This window comes from Homo sapiens, chromosome 15, assembly GCF_000001405.40.
Source record: "Homo sapiens chromosome 15, GRCh38.p14 Primary Assembly".
In the NCBI taxonomy this organism is placed as follows: domain Eukaryota; kingdom Metazoa; phylum Chordata; class Mammalia; order Primates; family Hominidae; genus Homo; species Homo sapiens.
Window position 1 is genome coordinate 83,120,991 of NC_000015.10, and position 19,055 is coordinate 83,140,045.

At 38.8% G+C, this 19,055-nt stretch overlaps 2 protein-coding genes across 18 annotated transcripts in view; one reads left to right on the forward strand and one right to left on the reverse strand.

Moving 5' to 3' along the window:
- TM6SF1 (transmembrane 6 superfamily member 1) overlaps nucleotides 1-16,418 on the forward strand; it is a 29,764-nt gene extending 13,346 nt beyond the window's left edge. For 4 of the 15 annotated variants that reach the window (NM_001353882.2, NM_001353879.2, NM_001353881.2 and 1 more), the window contains exons 5-10: nucleotides 931-1,013; nucleotides 1,767-1,888; nucleotides 3,682-3,786; nucleotides 5,765-5,857; nucleotides 6,368-6,487; nucleotides 15,491-16,418. In NM_001353882.2, coding sequence (NP_001340811.1) covers nucleotides 977-1,013; nucleotides 1,767-1,888; nucleotides 3,682-3,786; nucleotides 5,765-5,857; nucleotides 6,368-6,487; nucleotides 15,491-15,682 — 669 coding nt within the window. In that variant the 5' untranslated portion in view covers nucleotides 931-976 and the 3' untranslated portion in view covers nucleotides 15,683-16,418. Of the gene's footprint in view, nucleotides 1-930; nucleotides 1,014-1,766; nucleotides 2,401-3,681; nucleotides 3,787-5,764; nucleotides 5,858-6,367; nucleotides 6,488-6,618; nucleotides 6,820-9,745; nucleotides 9,870-15,490 lie in introns of those variants that run through there. The other 11 variants (NR_148561.2, NM_001353883.2, NM_001353884.2 and 8 more) reach the window with 8 other exon arrangements.
- HDGFL3 (HDGF like 3) overlaps nucleotides 1-19,055 on the reverse strand; it is a 95,086-nt gene that overhangs the window by 8,253 nt on the left and 67,778 nt on the right. The window contains exon 6 of one of the 3 annotated variants that reach the window (NM_016073.4): nucleotides 6,763-18,285. The exons of the other annotated variants lie outside the window; for them this stretch is intronic. Coding sequence (NP_057157.1) covers nucleotides 18,280-18,285 — 6 coding nt within the window. The 3' untranslated portion in view covers nucleotides 6,763-18,279. Of the gene's footprint in view, nucleotides 1-6,762; nucleotides 18,286-19,055 lie in introns of those variants that run through there. 3 annotated transcript variants of the gene reach the window in all.

Sequence of the window (19,055 nt, forward strand, 5' to 3'; positions counted from 1 at the left end):
TTCAGAGAATTTCCTTTTGAATTTCTCATAGCCTGTTACATAGTGTGGAGTTTGGGTTATTGGGGTTATCAATTGAAGGAACTTTTTTTTTTTATTTTGAGACGGAGTCTCGCTCTGTCACCCAGGCTGGAGTGCAGTGGTGCGATCTTGGCTCGCTGTAACCTCTGCCTCCCAGGTTCAACCATTTCTCCTGCCTCAGCCTCCCAAGTAGCTGGAATTACAGGTGCATGCCACCATGCCCAGCTAATTTTTTTTTTTTTTTTGTACTTTTAGTAGAGATGGCGTTTCACCATGTTGGCCAGGCTGGTTTCAAACTCCTGACCTCAAGTGATCTGCCCACCTCAGCTTCTCAAAGTGCTGGGATTACAGGCATGAGCCACCATGCTCGGCCTGAAGGAAGTTTTTGTCAGCATTGAAGATTTGGGGTATATGTCTAGCAGCTCCTTTGCAACATGGGGTACATGTCACTTGTCTTCACCTTTGGGGCTTTGGCCAAAATTCTGTGACCCCAGAAAAAGTCCATTTAACATTATCATTGTAAGTATAACTCATACTTATAATGATTAAAAATATGGATCCAATTTCATTTCTTCTTTCAACTTTCTTTTTCCTTTCATGCTGTTGAGTTTCACACACAATAGGGAAATGCAGGAGTCCTGTGGCAGGGATGATCATGTTGTAGTTTAACAGAAGACATAGCAGGCGTAATTTCCTATTTAAAAGGACACGAAGAAGGTTCTATAGTATATCACATGGCAATGAAGTTACATAACCAGGGCTCCTTGTGTTTGATTTATTCCTCTCAATTCAATATGTTTTGATTGATGTACTTTACTAGTTTGAATACAAAATAATATTGAAGATCATTTTTTGCTTAGTATTCTAAGACAAACATACCAAGTCAAGATTTTTTTGTTGTTGTTGTTACAGGGAAACTTATAGAACCATTGGCCTATATTGGGTTGGATCTATTATTATGAGTGTTGTTGTTTTTGTGCCAGGAAACATTGTAGGTAAGAAACTTTATCTTAAAGTTCACTTTCCTTTTCTAAAACAATGGGGCTTGTTTTTAAATAGAGAAGCTCTTTTAGTTATAATAGAACCAAGTGATTCCAAGCTTACTAAAAACCTGTTTTGCAGAATAATTCCTTTTTCTCACCTTTAAAAAAAGTACTTTTTAAGAAGTGCTTTGAGCAATTTTCAGATGTGTGCATTGAACAATTTGGCAGTCAAGTTATCAGGGATTCCTGTTTTTTTAGAAGGATCTTGAGGGAGTGAGTATGGTGTTTATGGCTATATTTAGTGTGCAAATATGTTAACTCCTGACACACTATGAGAACTCCAAAAATGTACTTGGAAATTACAAGTACATTATTAATGTATGCAGGAAATCAGGATATATAGGTAGATAGATAGATAGATAGATATAGATATAGGGAGATAGATATATACAAACATATATAGATACCTATCTAGATGTATTTTTTGAGACAGGATCTCACTCTGTTGCCCAGGCTGGCTTGCAGTGGTACAGCCATAGCTCACTGCAGCCTTGATCTCCTGGGCTCAAGCAGATTACTGTAGATAGGACATGCCTGTTAATACACATCTAGTATTTTAAATTGACCTTTTTAATTTGGCCTCATTAAAAATATTGTCTGGCCCATAGCAAAATTTTAGATGACCTGAGATGGGGAGGTATCCTAAATATTACTTGTGTTAGATATGCTTTTGGTAACTTCTTTCTCTTTCTCTCTTTTAAATAGGGAAGTATGGAACACGAATTTGCCCTGCTTTTTTCTTAAGCATACCATATACTTGTCTTCCTGTCTGGGCTGGTTTCAGAATCTATAATCAGCCATCAGAAAATTATAATTACCCCTCAAAGGTGATTTTATTAAGCTTTGATGTACCCTGTTCTCAAACTCATAGGGTTCTTTCGCATCCACTGGCCACTGAATTGAACCATGCCTCTGTGGACTGGAGCATTTGGGGCATCCAAACAGTGCGACTGTTTTGATTATGTAGCATTAGCTTACGTATTAATTAATGTAGGCAAGAAGGTCTGTTTCTGTCTGAATACATCTGCTTCTGTTGGCAAGGCCATACTTTGGGGAGCTTCCTGTGCCAGTGGTCACACTGGCTCTAACTATCAGATTCTGCATTAGTGTGTCAAGTGAAGTCCATAGTGTGTGGTTCATCTAGGATTGTTAATGGCCTGGACGTTGAACACCTGGGTTCCTCTGTGACACCTATGCATTTACTACCCCAAGAGGACACTGGAGGGATACTGCTCCTCAAGGTAGTCTACACAGCCATACAATCTTGACTCCAGAGATCCAGGCCCATAGAGACTGGCTACAGGACATCTGAGACACCTCCCTTCCATTCACAGCCAAGGTAGTCAAGGTGAAACAGCACTGGCCTGGCAGATACTCTGTTAAGGCCTTCATTTCTAAGCTAGTTTCTCTCTGTTTCTTTTACTTTTCTAGGTATTAGATCATTTAGCAAGATCTTTTAAGCAAAACTGATATATGAAAATATGAATTACTAGAGATAATCAGAATACGACTATTCATTTTACAAAAGATTTTCAGTATAATTCATTAAAATACATTTTAATTGACAAATACTTCATTTGTAAACATTTAGACACCTTCTATGTAAACTCAGGCTGGCACACTGACAGCTGGTACTAACTTCCCTCTGAGGAAAGAGGTGGCTGTTAAAAAGAAAAAGCAAATAGTCAGTCCACCCTTAGTCCCAGCTCCACTGCTTTTAAAGGTTCCATGTCAGTGTGTCAACAGAGTAGGTATGCCATGAGGCATGCAGAATTACTTATCATTATTTTTAATGTGAAAACACAGTGACAGCCAGGGCCAAGCAGGCATTGTCATACAGTGCTGACAGAAACATAAATTCAGAATTGCTCTGCAAAGCAATTTGGCAATGTTATCAACCTTAATAATTCTGGAACCCAATAATTCTGCTCCTAGAGCCCTATCTTCAGGAAATCATCACACAGATACCACCAAAGATTTACAAAGTTGTTCATCATTACATTAAGTATAACAGTGAAAAATGCCTAAATATCCAACAGTGGGAGAATGGCTAAAGTGTGGTGTTTCCATATGGTATTCAGTTTGAGAAAATTTTTAAACATGTGGGAAAGTGCTTATAATATAGGCAGATGTTGAGAGCAAAAAGAACAAATACAGAATTGTTTATATACAGGAATAATTTTATATATAAAATTGTTCCTAATTTTGTGAAAAATGTAGATATATGTGTGTGTATATATGTATGTTGTGTGTATGTAACTATATCTATTTACATGTATTACTGGAAAAGTATACCAACGGTTAATAGTGGTGTGGCAGGTTTATGGTTTACCTTTAAAATTTATTATCATTAAAATGTCATTTCAAGAAAAAAAGTGGACTCATAGAGCTACAAGAGCCCTTCGAGAGATCATTTAGCCCAAATTCTTCATTTCACAGATAAGGAAATTGAGACTTGAGGAAGGAAATGATTTTCCTAAAGTTCCATGGCCAGTGATTTATGATATAAATTGTGCATCTTCAAAATTCTCTTATCCATCATCATGACATTTAATGTTTCAGATTTCAGATTCTTCTTTGGCACTTTGGGCCTGCTCTTTAGGTACAAACTCTATTTTAGGTTATTCAAGAAGCCCAAGCGAAAGACCTGCTGAGAAGACCATTTGATTTAATGTTGGTTGTGTGTCTCCTCCTGGCAACTGGATTTTGCCTGTTCAGAGGTTTGGTAAGCATAACAGATCATAATAACGTAACATTGTGATACTACTCACATTTCCAAATGGAAAAAAACTTAGAAATATGTTTTTGTTTTTCCATCAGACTTCTTAGCAAACTAACAAACCATTCCTCCCATCAAAGCCTGGAGCCCTGGACCTGCTTCCTGCTGCTCCCAACCCCAGCCTCCTGCTGTCACCTCCTCCTGTCCTTAGATCAAGCTCTACTCAGAAGCATCTTCCTCCCCGTTTTAGGGCATCTAAAAAATCAGCCATCAGAGTCTCTCTTTTTTATTCTTTTGATGTTTCTGATTTAAATGTAAATATCTTTGGTAAGGATGGCACCCTAGGACTGCAACACAACTGTGGCACAGAGCATCCCTGTGTTCTCAGGAGTAGGGGCAATGGGGTTGAGGAAGGCGTACCAGTTCAACAATTCACGTGTATGTAGGGTCATGGGAATGTCTCACTGGTAAGAGTAGTGTTGAGTAAATTCATCTCACGCCTGGAGTCTTTGTATTGATGTGACTGAAATACATTAAGGGCACATGGGCATTTCATGTTTTCTATTTTCTCTTTATTAATATTTTACTGCAGAGGTTAGGAAAAAGACTCACAGGCTTTGTAGTTAGAATCCTGGCCACTTACTAGCTGTGTGGCCTTGGAAAAACTACTTAACCTCTTGGACTCTGTTTTCCTCTCTGTAAAATAACACTACCTACCTTAACAGTATTGTTTTGGAGATTAAATAATGTACATCAAACACTTGGTAGAGGCTCTTATACATAGTAAATGATTACTGTTAGGATTTTTATTGATCAGTGATCCTTCACAATGCCCCAATTTGATGATTTCTTCTTAGTAGAAATGAATTTGGGAAGTTTAGAATTATATTGTTAATTATATTCAGCTTCAGTGACAATTTCTATTCGAAGCCTGTTGGCGCGCGTAACAGTTGGACAGTAGAGTGGCAAGTGTAAGCCCATGCAGGTGACTTTTATCATTTCAGGGTCTTGGGCTACTGGGGGCCTGTGCAGCAGGCTGGGTTCAGGGTGAGAAGCTGTTTTAAGAGTTATCTTTATCTGTGAAATGTCAAGAAACTTTCTGGAGGAGAGCTGGCTAACAGGAGGAGGGGCATGGGGAAGAGAAGTAAAGAAGGCAAGGCCATAGCTTTGCTTAGACCACAGGGCCACTGAAACTGTTCTTTGGTTAGTTTGTTGTAATTCTTAAAGTTCAAACAACAAAAAATAGTGGGCCCCACCTGTATTCTTGCACGGCCATATCCCCTTCCCTGTGCACGAGAAAAATGTGTGCATGTGTGGGGGTGCATGCAAGGTGGGTAGGGCTTTTGGATTGGGGCCATTTTTACCAACTCTGTCATTGGCCTGTGTTCATATATGCCATCTAGGTGGGACAACATTTATGGCCAAAGACATGAGGAATGGTGCCTGAGGGGAGGAAGGTGACTCAGAGGGGACCTAGTAAAGTGCCAAAAAGACTTTCCAGCAAGAGGACCCTGCTTTCAAATCATCTTTTACTGCCTCCAAAGGCCATATACGCTATGATGCACTGGAGACAGGAAGGTGCTATTTTCAAATCTTGCAATGCATAGTAAGATGAATTTGGTGTAGAAATATACTTTTCTTCCTGTAGGGAATAGGGGGCTAGTTATTTCCAAGAAAAGTGAAACTCATAATTTAAAGCAAGCTGTGCTTTGGCTAGCCAAACCTAGATACTTAAACTCTGAATATCTGAAAAATACCCAAGAATAGGGCATTAGTTTCCATTTCCTGCACCATAATTAACCTTTGCTTAGTCTCCTTAGAACAAATCTGCAAAATATTTCCATCATTGATGAGCCTCTACAATGCATACGTTTTGTTAAACAGCAAAGCAGCTTGTGACTAAACCTGGCACATTTAGCCTTATCAGCAAACCTAAGAACCAGATGTGATTGTATTTTTATAATGAGTTTATTTTTGTCCTTAGATTGCTTTGGATTGCCCATCTGAGCTCTGCCGATTATATACGCAATTTCAAGAGCCCTATCTAAAGGATCCTGCTGCTTATCCTAAAATTCAGGTCAAGTAGTTATGAAGCCTAAGATTTTTCTAAAATTAATTTTCTTTTTAAAAAATGGGTCCCAGCTGGGTGCGGTGGCTCACGCCTGTAATCCCAGCACTTTGGGAGGCCGAGGCAGGTTGATCACGAGGTCAGGAGTTTGAAACCAGCCTGGCCAGCATGGTGAAACCCCATCTCTACTGAAAAAATACAAAAAACTAGCCGGGCATGGTGGCACATGCCTGTAATCCCAGCTACTCAGGAGGCTGAGGCAGGAGAATTGCTTGAACCCGGGAGGTGGAGGTTGCAGTGAGCCGAGATTGCGCCACTGCACTCCAGCCTGAGTGACAGAGTGAGACTCCACCTAAAAAAATAAATAAATAAAAATAAAAGTAAAAAAAAAAAAAGAGTCCCATATAGGAAATAGGAATTAATATTTTCAAAGATGAAAATGTTTACTTTTTTGTACTTTTTAGTCAGGCCAAGTTAACTGCCAATTTGCTGATGATGTTATTTCTCTGTTCAATACAGATGCTGGCATATATGTTCTATTCTGTTCCTTACTTTGTGACTGCACTGTATGGCTTAGTGGTTCCTGGATGTTCCTGGATGCCTGACATCACATTGATACATGCTGGAGGTCTGGCTCAGGTACTAAGAATATTCTGTTGAGAAGGTTTACTTGTGGTCTAGGTGTCAATTGTTGAATATATGAAAAACTTCTCTGCTCAGTGTTTTAGACTAGGAGATAGCTATTAGACATGTCACCTTTTGTTTTGCAGTTCTTCAGAAGACATTTCTGCAAGTACATTTTATTTCAATCTCACAATAACTATATGGTAGATGTGCCATCCAGTTACACAGATGAGGAAGTTATCTGTGGTCCAGTGAAGTTAAATGATTTGCCCAAGGTTACACACCCAGCATGTGGCATTGTTGTTTTATTGGACTGTTTCACAATCTCTGAATACCATGGCTACTAAAAAAGGATTGAGAGCTGTCACCTTCAAAATGTCCATCCAAATTTAAGACTTCAGAATTCCACTACGCTATGCTATACAGAACCAGGGAAACTGGTTTAAAAAATGTTCTGGGCCTGTCATTTCATTCCTTTTCCGCTGGCACCTTGCCAAATATTTGGCCTAGAGTAGGTGTTCAGTGAATGCTTACTGCGTTTAACTGAAAATGAAATTATCTATGGAGAACTTCACACATAACATAAAGCACATTTTTACAAGATAATTAGCAAAACAAATCAATCTTCTGAACAAGGAAGAAAATTAATTTTTCTTACTAGAAATAAAACAAATGAACTTATCATTTAAAAACATTAGCTTCATCTTGTTCTTTTCAAGCAGTTATAAGAATGAGGTTCATCTAGAAACTGTAGGCTTGTACAGTCAATTATATGCATGGTATAATAATCATGATCGTAAGACATACTAGAATTCACACGGTTGAAAAATATAGTATTTAAGGGGTCAATGCATTAAATCCTTTCAGTTTGAGGTAATTCTTAATTATAAAATTAGCATAGTAGTATCGAAAAAGTTGATGTAGCATCCAGAAGTAATGGTTCCTGTCCTTTCCTTGAGGGGCTTAAGAAGGAAGAGAACTAACATTTATTGCTCTTTGCTGGTTGTTTTTCCTTTGCAGACCTCTAAATACCTGATTCCTCAGTCCTTGGGGTTTATTTCTGTATTTTAGGTCTTTATCTTTGTATCTTTCAATACCAACTATAAGCTGATAACTTCCAGTTTTCTACCTTCGGCCCACACCGTTCCCAGACTCCTGTATTTCATTCCAAACTCAGTCTTTTTACTTGCATGCCTCACTAGCACCTCAGATTTAATATATAAAATAGGACCTGATCCTCCCCACAACCTCTCTTCCATTTTTTCATTATCTGTTTAAATAGTCCAATTGCATCCAGCAACTCAAGCCAGAAACTTGGAGTAATTATTTACACTCCTCATCCTCTACATCTAGACCACCACTAAGTCCTTTTTTTTTTCTTTTAAAGAGACAGGGTCTTGCTCCATCTCCCAGGCTGGAGTGTGATGGCACAGTCATAGCTCACCGCAGCCTCGGACTCCTAGGCTCAAGCAATCCTCCTGCCTCTGTCTCCAGAGTAGCTGGGACTACAGACATACACCACCGCACACAGCTAATTTTTAAATTTTTTAAAGAGATGGGATCTTATTTTGTTGCCCAGCTTATTCTCAAATGCCTGCTTCAAGTAATCCTCCTGCCTCAGCCTCCCAAAGTGGTAGGATTACAGGTGTGAGCCACCACACCCAACCAGGTCCAGTTAGTTTTACTCCAGTGATTCTCCAACCCATTTTTTTTTTCCAGCTCCGCTGCCCCTACACTAGTCTGAGCTCTCATTACCTTACTTCATGCCAGGCAAACCACGTTAAAAGTTTTACTTACCTATTTGTCTAAGGATAGGCTATGTGCTCTGCTGCTGTAACAAATACTCAGAGTAGCTTAACACAATTAAAATTTTAATTCTTTTTTATGCAAAGATCATGTGGGATATTTTCAAGGTCCAGGCCTGGCACCAGGTCAACTGAGGGGAGGCTGGTGACTGTGGTCTTCCTGCCTGCCTCAGAATAAACAGCACAATGGACACATAATAATATCTTTTGTAATAGCTCTGGGAAAAAAACCCCAATTTAAAGATGAGGAGGCTGAGGCTCAGTCCACCTGAAATTATTTGCCTAAGATTACAGTTATTAAATGGCAGAATAGGTTTATGAAATCCTGTCTGACTCCAAAGCTCATATTCTTCTCCATTGTGTTATCTCACCCACCCCATGCAAACAATGAACTATGGCACAGAGTCCTACAGCACAAAAGACTGTATGTAGTACGAGGTGCTGGAGAACCTTGTGGGTGGAAGGCAGTGACATTCCGAGTTGGACTCTGAGGGCCAAGTGGGGCTTTATTAGGCTGAGCCTCTCCAGGGAATAACCCAGGGAAACACTGAGGTGTGGGCATATGCAGCAGGTCTGAGGGCAGAGTAAGCCTTGCCTTTTTTTTTGGCCTGGTTCCTCTGCCTTATTCTCCTGTATCCTTCAGAACAGATGGCCGCATACCCACTTCACTCTTGCCAGCCCTTTCTTTAGAGGATTAGACTGTTCAGTTTGACAGCTGTTCAGTTTGACACCTATTACCTGTGTCAATTGTGCTTTGCCTGCACAATCAGGCCTCCTCTGCCTGCCATGTGCCTGGTCGGCCTGGTACCAGTCCCTGATGCAGGAATGCTAAGTGTCATCAGCCAGCAGGCTGGTTAAAGAGACCAGATGTTGGACCTGGTCAAGTCTCAGGAGACAAATGGAAACAGCAGGAAAACCTAGGCAAAAGCCTAGTCACATGGCCAGGGTCAACAGTCAGGAAGCTTAGGAAGGTCATAGCTTAGAGGAAAATGGGTGTGGTAAGCCTGTAGCAATAAGACAAACCCTAATCTGTTGGTGAAGCTAAGCTTGCAGGTGGGCACTTATTACTCCAGCCAAGTGGTTCTGAGAAGGGCAGTGTGGACTACAGAGCAGCTGGCAGCCGCAGGGGCATTACCTCATTCATGTCAGACGTCAGGCATCCTGGGGCTTATCCATCACTGCCCAGTTGATAAGGCAGCCTGAAGCCCCTCTCTTGATGGTGAATGCCCAGATCCAGAGCCTAAGGCTAAGGACCAGATCCTGTAAATGTCAGAAGGATGTTTCTCCCAGCCCAGCAGGTGAAGACAGACTGAGTAAAGAATTATGGGTCTGATTCCCACAGCTCTTGGCTGAGCTTTAATATCTACCCACTTATAGTGTGTAGGCTAAGGAAAAGTTAGAAGCCATGCCGCAACAAAACAATAGATATGACCAGAATACTGAATTACGTTATTTGTTTTGTACTTAGCAAATACTCGCTTATGAAATGGAGTCTCATCTTATGGGAGTATCTGACACATTCATCACAGAAAGCACTCTCCAGCAAGGCACGGTGGCTCACACCTGTAATCCCAGCACTTTGGGAGCCCGAGGTGGGTGGACTGCTTGAAGTCAGGAGTTTGAAACCAGCCTGGGCAACATGGTAAAACCCCATCTCTACAAAAAATACAAAAATTAGGCTGGCGTGATGGCATATGCCTGCAGTCCCAGCTACTAGGAAGGCTGAGGTGGGAGGATCACTTGAACCAGGAGGCAGAGGTTGCAGTGAGCCGAGACTGTGTCACTGCACTCTCCAGCCCAGGTGACAGAGAGAGACCCTGTCTCTCCCACCACCACAAAAAAACAAAACAAAACAAAAATAGGCATTTTTCTGTAACTTTAATCAGCATCTTTGCTTGCTAAAATTGCCATTCTTATTTAGAAACCTTATGCATTCATGATCCCACTAACTTTACTAAAACTTACTTTTACTGAAACATCTAGTAAACTCTCAAGAATCTATGCAACTTAGTAAGGGAAAAAAAAACCACCTTTGAAAAGTTCTAGATCAGTATAGGCCAATGGAAGAAATATTGAGTAGTGGCCAGGCGCAGTGGCTCACACATGTAACCCTAGCACTTTGGGAGGACCAGGCAGGTGGATCACCTGAGGTCAGGAGTTTGAGACCAGCCTGGCCAACATGACGAAACCCCGTCTCTACTAAAAATACAAAAAATTAGCTGGGTGTGGTGGTGGGCATCTATAATCCCAGCTACTTGGGAGGCTGAGGCAGGAGAATCGCTTGAACCTGGGAGGCAGAGGCTGCAGTGTGCCAAGATCACGCCCACTACACTGCAGCCTGGGTGACAGAGCAAGACTGTCTCAAAAAAAAGAAAGAAAAAAGAGTGAGTAGTTATTGGGGCCTTGATTTCAGACCATGTAGGAGTCTGCCAAATCTGCTGCCTTCAGAAATCAAAAGATCAAGGAAAGAGTAAAAGAAGATTGAATAAAATGAAACCAGGACACATTTTAGACCAAAGAGTTCCACTGGGGACTTACTCATAACCCAGGTATCTTTTCATATAAAATGCTAACCATAGGATTAAAGCTGCAAGTGTAATCTGAAAGGCATTATAGGCTGCTTAGATCCACTTATTAGCATTTCCTATCAATTGAAGCATTTTCTCTGCTAAAATATCAATGAAAATGAAAAAAAGCCAAAGCCAGTAGAGTTCATATAGTTAGGAACATAAGCTCTGGAGGTGAACTGGTTCAGATTCTAGCCTGTTGCTGATGAGCACAATGACCTTGGCTACTTTACCTCTCTGATCCTCAGTTTCCTCTTCTGTAAAGTGAGGATAATAACAGTAGCTTTCTCATGGAATTGCTGTTAGGGTTGGATGAGGTAATACATGTAAAGGGCTTAAAACAGTGTCTGGCACATAACAGCTATGTAACCCTTTGTTGCTACTATTACTGGTAGAAGATTCCCAGTAAGAATTTGGAGATATGCCTTATGTTGTTCCGAAGATTAACCTGAAGACAAACTAATTAAATTAAGTGTATTGTATATAATTACCAAGAAAACAAAGAAACTGGGTGAAAGCTTTGGGACAGACTCACCATGGGCTTGGTAAGGAGCCTGCCATCCCACAGCCAGCGAAGGAGGTTCAGTTACTTCAGTCAGGTGCTGCCCTCAGACTCTCTAACTCCCTGGCTATGTAGGTGCTATGTCATGTCTTTTTCTCACAAAGAGATATGGAAACTTACGTGTGAATAATTTGGTTGTGAAGAGTTTACTGAAGTAAATTTATCATTTTTTTTTTAACTTGAGACAGGGTCTTGCTATGTTGCCCAGGCTGGTCTCAAACTCCTGGACTCAAGTGACCCTCCCGCCTTGGCATCCCAAAGTGCTGGGATTATAGGTATGAGCCACCACGCTCAGCCTGGAAGTAAATTTCATACGGTTTTTCCCTCATGGAGACGTTAAGAAAAATCTGAAAGTAACAGTTTAGGAAGAACACGGATAGTTGGGATACTAATGCAAATCTTGTTTTCTTCATTTGCTTCTGGTGTGATTCATTGCTAAACATCTTTATTTAGTATTAAATTATACTGATTTAACATCTTTTATGTACTTATCCTTTCATGGAGACACTCACAGTAAAAAGGTCAAAAGGTCAAGAGAATCTAAAAACAAAGGGCCCAGATTTTCTACAGTCGAGCACCAGATCATGAATGGGTATTTCAGTTTTGTACTTGTGTCTACAGAATAGCCCCAAGTGCTTGACACTGTCTAAGCATGTCACAAACATCACCTCACTGAACCCTCATAACAACCTATGAGGTGGGTTCCACACCTCACCCGAGGCCATACGGCTGGTTTGTGGTGGAGCTGTGATTTGACTCTGGATGTCTAGTTCCAAAGTCAGTGTTCTGAACCAATGAACTATGTTGCTCAGAAAACTCTAAGAAAAGATAACACAGTTCTAGATTAGCTATTTATACTGTATTAGCAAAAGACCCTGGCTATCATCCCAATGGTCACCTAAGTTTTCTGCCTATAACATTCACATGGACATATAACACTCTTTCAGTTCCTCCTTGTGGAACCACGATTAACTTTTTTAGTTATCCTTTACAGATTGTCTCTATACATGTAAGAAAACAGCTCTTAAAATTTAACCTTTGTTCACCTTATTGTCTCATTTGCCATTCCAATCATCCATTCTTAAAAAAAAATCAGAGTATATCTCTTAATTATTTCTGTAAGGTGAAAATGATTTAGAATGAAGTGGAAGAAAAATTATTAGGGACTCAACCTCACATTGCTAAATTCTGGAGAAATTTCTAGGATCAACAACTCATATCTGTAATCCTGGGCCTCCTGTTAATTCAGCAGCATTGAGTTCACTGAGCCACCTGACCCCAGCACAGGCTCAGGCTGAGCTCTTCAGGTCCTGCCATGAGAGGCCTTGTGCTGCTGGGAACATCACCCAGGAGAAAACCTGCAGCCCTTTATTAGCTATGTGCTTGGGAAGAGAAACCTCCTCAGGTGAGACTGTTTTTCTGAACTTCAGAACCCTGAACACTTAACATCCTATGCCTTAGGAGAAAGCTATGGTCAGGTGCTCACTCAGCTGGAAGTGTGGCCACCATAAGTACATCCATTAGGACTATGAGCAGTACTGGGAGCTGCACACCACTGGCCTTAGAGTTCTTCTCTCACATACAAATGCCTCTTTTGATTATGAATGTTAAAATTTTTGTGCCTTGTTTAATAATTCTGAATAAAGAGGCCTACTAAAATACATACAAAACTAGAGAAATGCTTTGTAGACCCTTTTTGTATTTTGACAGTCACAAGTCCATTGTTGTTGAACGTTTATTGAGCTCTAACAATGTGACAGGTGCCACACAAAACATTAGACACAGTACCTGCCCAGTGGGCTTACAATCTAATCTAAGGACATGAATCTTTTTTTTTTTTTAAAGACAGAGTCTCACTCTGTCACCCAGGCTGGAGTGCAGTGGCACAATCTTGGCTCACTGCAACCTCCACTCCCCGGGTTCAAGCAATTCTCCTGCCTCAGCCTCCCGAGCAGCTGAGATTACAGGCGTCTGCCACCACGCCCGGCTAATTTTTTGTATTTTTTAGTAGAGATGGGGTTTCACTATGTTGGCCAGGCTCGTCTTGAACTCCTGACCTCAGGTGATCCACCCGCCTTGGCCTCCCAAAGTACTGGGATTACAGGCGTGAGCCACTGCGCCCGGCCATGATTCACTTAATGTTGCCATGAGTTTGCTGTTCATGAAAGTGAGGTATTAACTGCACTGGTTAGTGCAGGAAAAGAGCCTACGGAATCACTGACTTTTTACACAGGCTCCCCTATGCAAGTAGGCACAACTGCTCATATTTATTCTCTCAAAGTATGGTTGGCATTTCCCCAAATTTGGTGATTTTGTGATGTGTACAAGTATCTATAAAGACAGAACCACCAAACCCAGATTTCTGAGAACCAGGGATCAAATGTGGCTTCCAGTCCAGAGAAAATGCTTGGTTATATATTCAGAAAAACACTATTATTCAAAACAGGCCCTAAGGAAAAACAGTATGGGAGCCATGCTCCTGCTCAGAGTTCCTAGAATGTCCAGAAAGCACCTCCTCAGGGCAGCCCTGAAAGTGCCCTTTACTCTCAAGGCATTTTGTCCTCAGAGCCCAGAGATGCATATACATTTGCTGGGTTCTGCCTGGGCATCTACCCAGGGGAGTTGTATCTGAGGGCCGAGTCCTCTCAGTGCCTCATGGATCACAATGTAGACAATCCACGTGCTGGTCCTTGGCAATACATCATGCTAATTTAATTTATATCTCCAGAGTAGCAAAAATGTACCACAGGTCTCCAGAATATATCAGGAATTTGTAAAAATGCAGCCCATTAAAATATCTGCCACTGATAAAAAATTCATAAAGATGCTGCTTAAAAAAACTTGTCCTTTTCTTGTCATGGTGAAGTCAAGTAAGTAACACCTTTATCTGTGAAATCACTCAGCAGAATAAATTGGTTTCATATGGAAGAAATGTAAAATAACTTATATGTATTTAAAGCAAATTATCTAGTTCTTCATTCTTGTTACTTCTATGCCTTCTCTATAGTGCAGTCTTTTGTCTCTTTGATCCTGATGAACTGATAATTTACTACTTATTACATTTAGATTCCCAATCCTTTATTCATGTGTATCTTGAATTTCAGCAAGATATGAAAATGCAGACTCCAGGGGTACATTTTGTAATGATACAAGCCTTCTGAGGAAATTTTCTGACAGGAGCTTTTAATCCTGCTGTGGTCTGTTTTACCCTTTCCAATACGGTTTTCCTCTGTGCTTGCGAAAAATATCAAAAAAGACCAATTGGCACATTCTGAATGTGTTTTCTGAATAAGTATATAAGTAGAGAGGGAGGCCATTTTGCAAATGCGGATAATGCTGACATGTCGTACTTCTAAATAAATTATAATTTGATTTAAAAAGGTTGCCTGCATGTACATTTGCCATTTTACAAAGAGCAACCGTACTCCTACCTCCACCCAAGTTGGTAACAACCTTATCTTACAAACAACCCTTAATATTTTAAAAGCTGCAGAAAAAACAAATACATGAATAAATGAATAAACAAAAAACACATAGGGAAAGGGTATGAGCTCTTGCTGCAAGGAGTAGATGAAAGACTGATAAATGAAGCTGAGGTCCCCCCAGTGCTTCCCTTTCAATAGTTTATGCTAAAAATATTTGTTTTTTAAAACTCTGCGCTTTCTTCATTTTTATTGGAACGCAATTTGTGAACCACAACTGAGTCTGTATGCAGGATCTCCAGAACGCAAATCAGAAAAAAATTTGAGATTTTATTCAGATTTTTCTATTAGATTGAGCCACTAATGTTCGGTAAGGGGCACTTGATGGTTAAAAAACACAACTGGCATGATAAAACTACACTAAATAATATCTACTTTATTTGAACAGTCATATCAAGAATGGCCCTAAATTTAATCAAGGACTAAATTTAATGAAAGACTCTGACATTAAAGACTCTGGATTGTTTGAAGGTATTTTGCCTGCAGGTGAGACTGGTTTTGAGGGCACAGAAACGTAGCCTGAATGAACCATTCAGAACTCATCATGCATCCAACTGAACACGTTTCATGCTTACTCAATTTTTTTTTTTTAAATGCAACAGGCTCAGTTTTCTCACATTGGTGCATCTCTTCATGCTAGAACTGCTTATGTCTACAGAGTCCCTGAAGAAGCAAAAATCCTTTTTTTAGCATTAAACATAGCATATGGAGTTCTTCCTCAGCTCTTGGCCTATCGTTGTATCTACAAACCAGAGTTCTTCATAAAAACAAAGGCAGAAGAAAAAGTGGAATAAAAATATTACTTCATGTTCCTCCTTTCTAAATTACTAACTTTTGTTATACTGGTACTGATATTTTGTCCCATTTCACTCTCTTCTCATACGTGAGTACTTAAGAATATGTACATTCTTGCTCTGCACTGTATGTGTGAGCTATATGGTATTGTGTAAATTTTTTTTGAAGGAAAATGGAAATTCTTGAGAAACAGTTTGTTTAAAGAAATATATTCAAAATCATTTGTGAATAAACTTGATCATCCATCTCAATATTGTTTGACATATAAAATAATTATAAGTGTAAAAAATTACAATTTAGTGCCAACAGTAGTGAGCATGAAATGAAACTATTCAAAAGAGAATATGGCCTGTGCATATTAAAAAATTCAAAACAGTGAATGCAGACTGGAGGAGTAACTTTTGCAAATAAGATGAATATGCTTCATTATTAAACTCAATATAAAAGGCAAATCATCAGAATATTTTTAAATGTTGTTTGAAAAATGTTTTCCCAAGGAAAGTTTATTATTTGCTGCTGTTTCAAGAAAATTACTTTTACTAAATTTTTTTGTGTGAATTTAAACAGCTAAATAGGGATCAGTAACTTTATCTCTATCCTTAATGAACATTTGTTTTATTGGTGGCTGGAAATATTTCTATTGTATTTCTGTGTATATTTTTAATAAAATTATTTTTGGCCTCTTATAAAGACAAATCTTATTAAATTTGAAACATTTCATATATACACATAAAACGCTTTTAAAGAAAATTTGTGAGTTGTATATTCCAATTCAAAATGCCATCTACATTCCCCTTATGTTTCAGTGTGAGCAATGAAGAGGTCTTTTGATGAATTAAATTTCATTAATTAAAAAATACATTCAAATATTCAAAATTAAAAAGGACCTTTTAAGGAAGAAGTATTAGATCGACATCCCTACTATCTTTTTATGAACTTTTCATGTTTGGGATTGTATGTTGAGTATACTAGAGAAAATCAGTATTCACTAAATGAAAGAAACACACCAAAAATACAAACAGCCACCTCCTCACTGTGCCCTGGAATGATAAATGGACTGGTGCTTTCATACCCTTAGCTGCCATCATCACCATCATCATTATTAACGGCCCTAGGCTTTTAGGTCTGCTCACATTTTCTCATGTTTTTATTAGCTCTCATCAAGAAAACCAAAAGAAAATGGGATACAAATCAATGCATGGATAATATCAAATTACAAAATCTAGGGTCCACTGGGCTGGTAAATATGTAAGTGTAAGCAAATCATGTAGTCATCTCCCCATCATCCCCTACAGTGTTTTCAAATAATCTAAAACCCAGAGAGTGTTTAAAAAAAAAAAAAGAAAGAAAAAGAAAAACCCTCACCTGCACTTGATTCTATTGTCAGCTTGCTGTGAACAATTTTTGCTTTAATATATGAATTACATTAATACCTCACGTTACATATATGAAGCCAAATTACACTAACTTAGTTTGCTTACAACCTCAAATCTTACTCCCAGTACACATTCCAATAAATTTATTCTGTAAAAACAATACATTTTTTTGTTTTTGATTTTTTTACAGTAAACTTTTCAACTACAAACCGTGAATACGCGAAAGATGTTCCAAGGACAAGCATTAACAGGATTGATAAAACCCAAACTGACTAAATGTGTTCTCACAATATAAGCTGGCATAAAAATAAATAAAATTCTCTATTATCACAATAGCAACAATAATGTACACATAATAATGGTTTAAGGATGAATATTAACTATTCTAATTGTAGTTCCAAAAGAAAACAGTTTATTTTAAAAGTCTACATTTAAAAGTCAATGCTTTGTCTGGTTTCCCATAGGGCTGTTGCTGATTCCAGCTTTAAAATGTAAAGTATCCACCTTGAGTGCTTAGCTCAAAATTGTATTGGCACTGGGAAAAAAATAAATCATTGCCTTTATTTTGGAGTAACACAAAAAGACTCACTAACTTCACATATAGAAACTTAGTTTGTGTACATAACAATATGAATTTTGAGAAGTATAAGCTGTCAACTAGCTATTTCTAATACGGAATAGATATTTTACAATATGGTTAAACTTTACACATGGCCTCAAAACTGAAGGACAATTTTAATTTCGTCTTCAATATACCAACGTTATGTATTTAGGAATTAATTCCTGGGTTCTGTCACAGAGAGGAAATTCCATTCTTAAGCATTATGTTGAGTGGTCATCTAAAAAATGTTAATTTATATTTAACTGAGTGTTTGATGATGGTGGGGTCAAGGCAGGAAAACGATGATCATAACTGCCTTGATAAAAGGATCCTAGACATGTATAAGTCTGCGCAAAAATCTTGATAATCCTTAGTGGTTAAGGGCAACTTCATGCAACCAAATAACATGAAATTAAATCAGTAACTTTTAAAAAAGGCTAAAATGTCTTTTCCCCCCGAAACACAACAGAGAGGAATATGAATAATGTACATACAAACTGGGGTTCTGTCAATGACAACAAGGACTATGTGTTGGTTCATATCAAATCCAAGAATATTAGACAACCAAACATATAACCTTCTTGTGGTTTCTCTTAATATGCAGCATTCATTATGGTAGTTAGGTCTGTAAAAAAAAAAAAAAGAAAGAAAACAAGCCTTTAGATGATTTAGGATACTAACAATGAGAGCTATCCACACCTAGATAGTACATAATTGGGTTTTCTGAAATTTTAATATGCACTGCAGCATTAACAATACTTACTGAGCAAGAGCAGCTTCTGTGGCTTTGCTTTAGACCTGTCAGTGCAAAAAGTTAAAGGAAATCCTAGGGTATTTTTAGTGTCCCATAGAAAAAAATTATAAACCTTGTCTACTGTCTGTTAGGACAGAGTGCAGCAGTGCACATTCTACAATTCTAGGACTATGTTTATTGCTGGAATACATCATCAGTGGAGAAATTGATATAATCTATCTTTGTGAGGACATTCTTCAGAAAGAAAGGTAAGCTGTGTAAAATTTAAAAAGCACTTAGAGTGTGCACCAATTAATCTTCAGAATATTTATAACTTAATTACTTGTGACACATAGCTCAAACAAATGTAGAAGTTAATCATGATGTACAAAGTCTCTGACTTCTTGCTTTTAAAAAAAACATAAAGAATAAGAGGAAGCCTAGATTTCTTTTAAAATTTAGATGGCATCCGTGTGACAAACAGAAAATAAAACATTTGTTTCATAAAAGAATTATGTTTCTATTTGGGTCCCACTTTAAATTGTGTCTGGTTCTATTTCCCCAAAAGGATGCTATTTTTTCCCCCTCATCATTAACCCAAATATATTAAACCCCCTAGTAATACCCTCATGGGATGAATGAAAGAGGGAACTCAGCCCTCA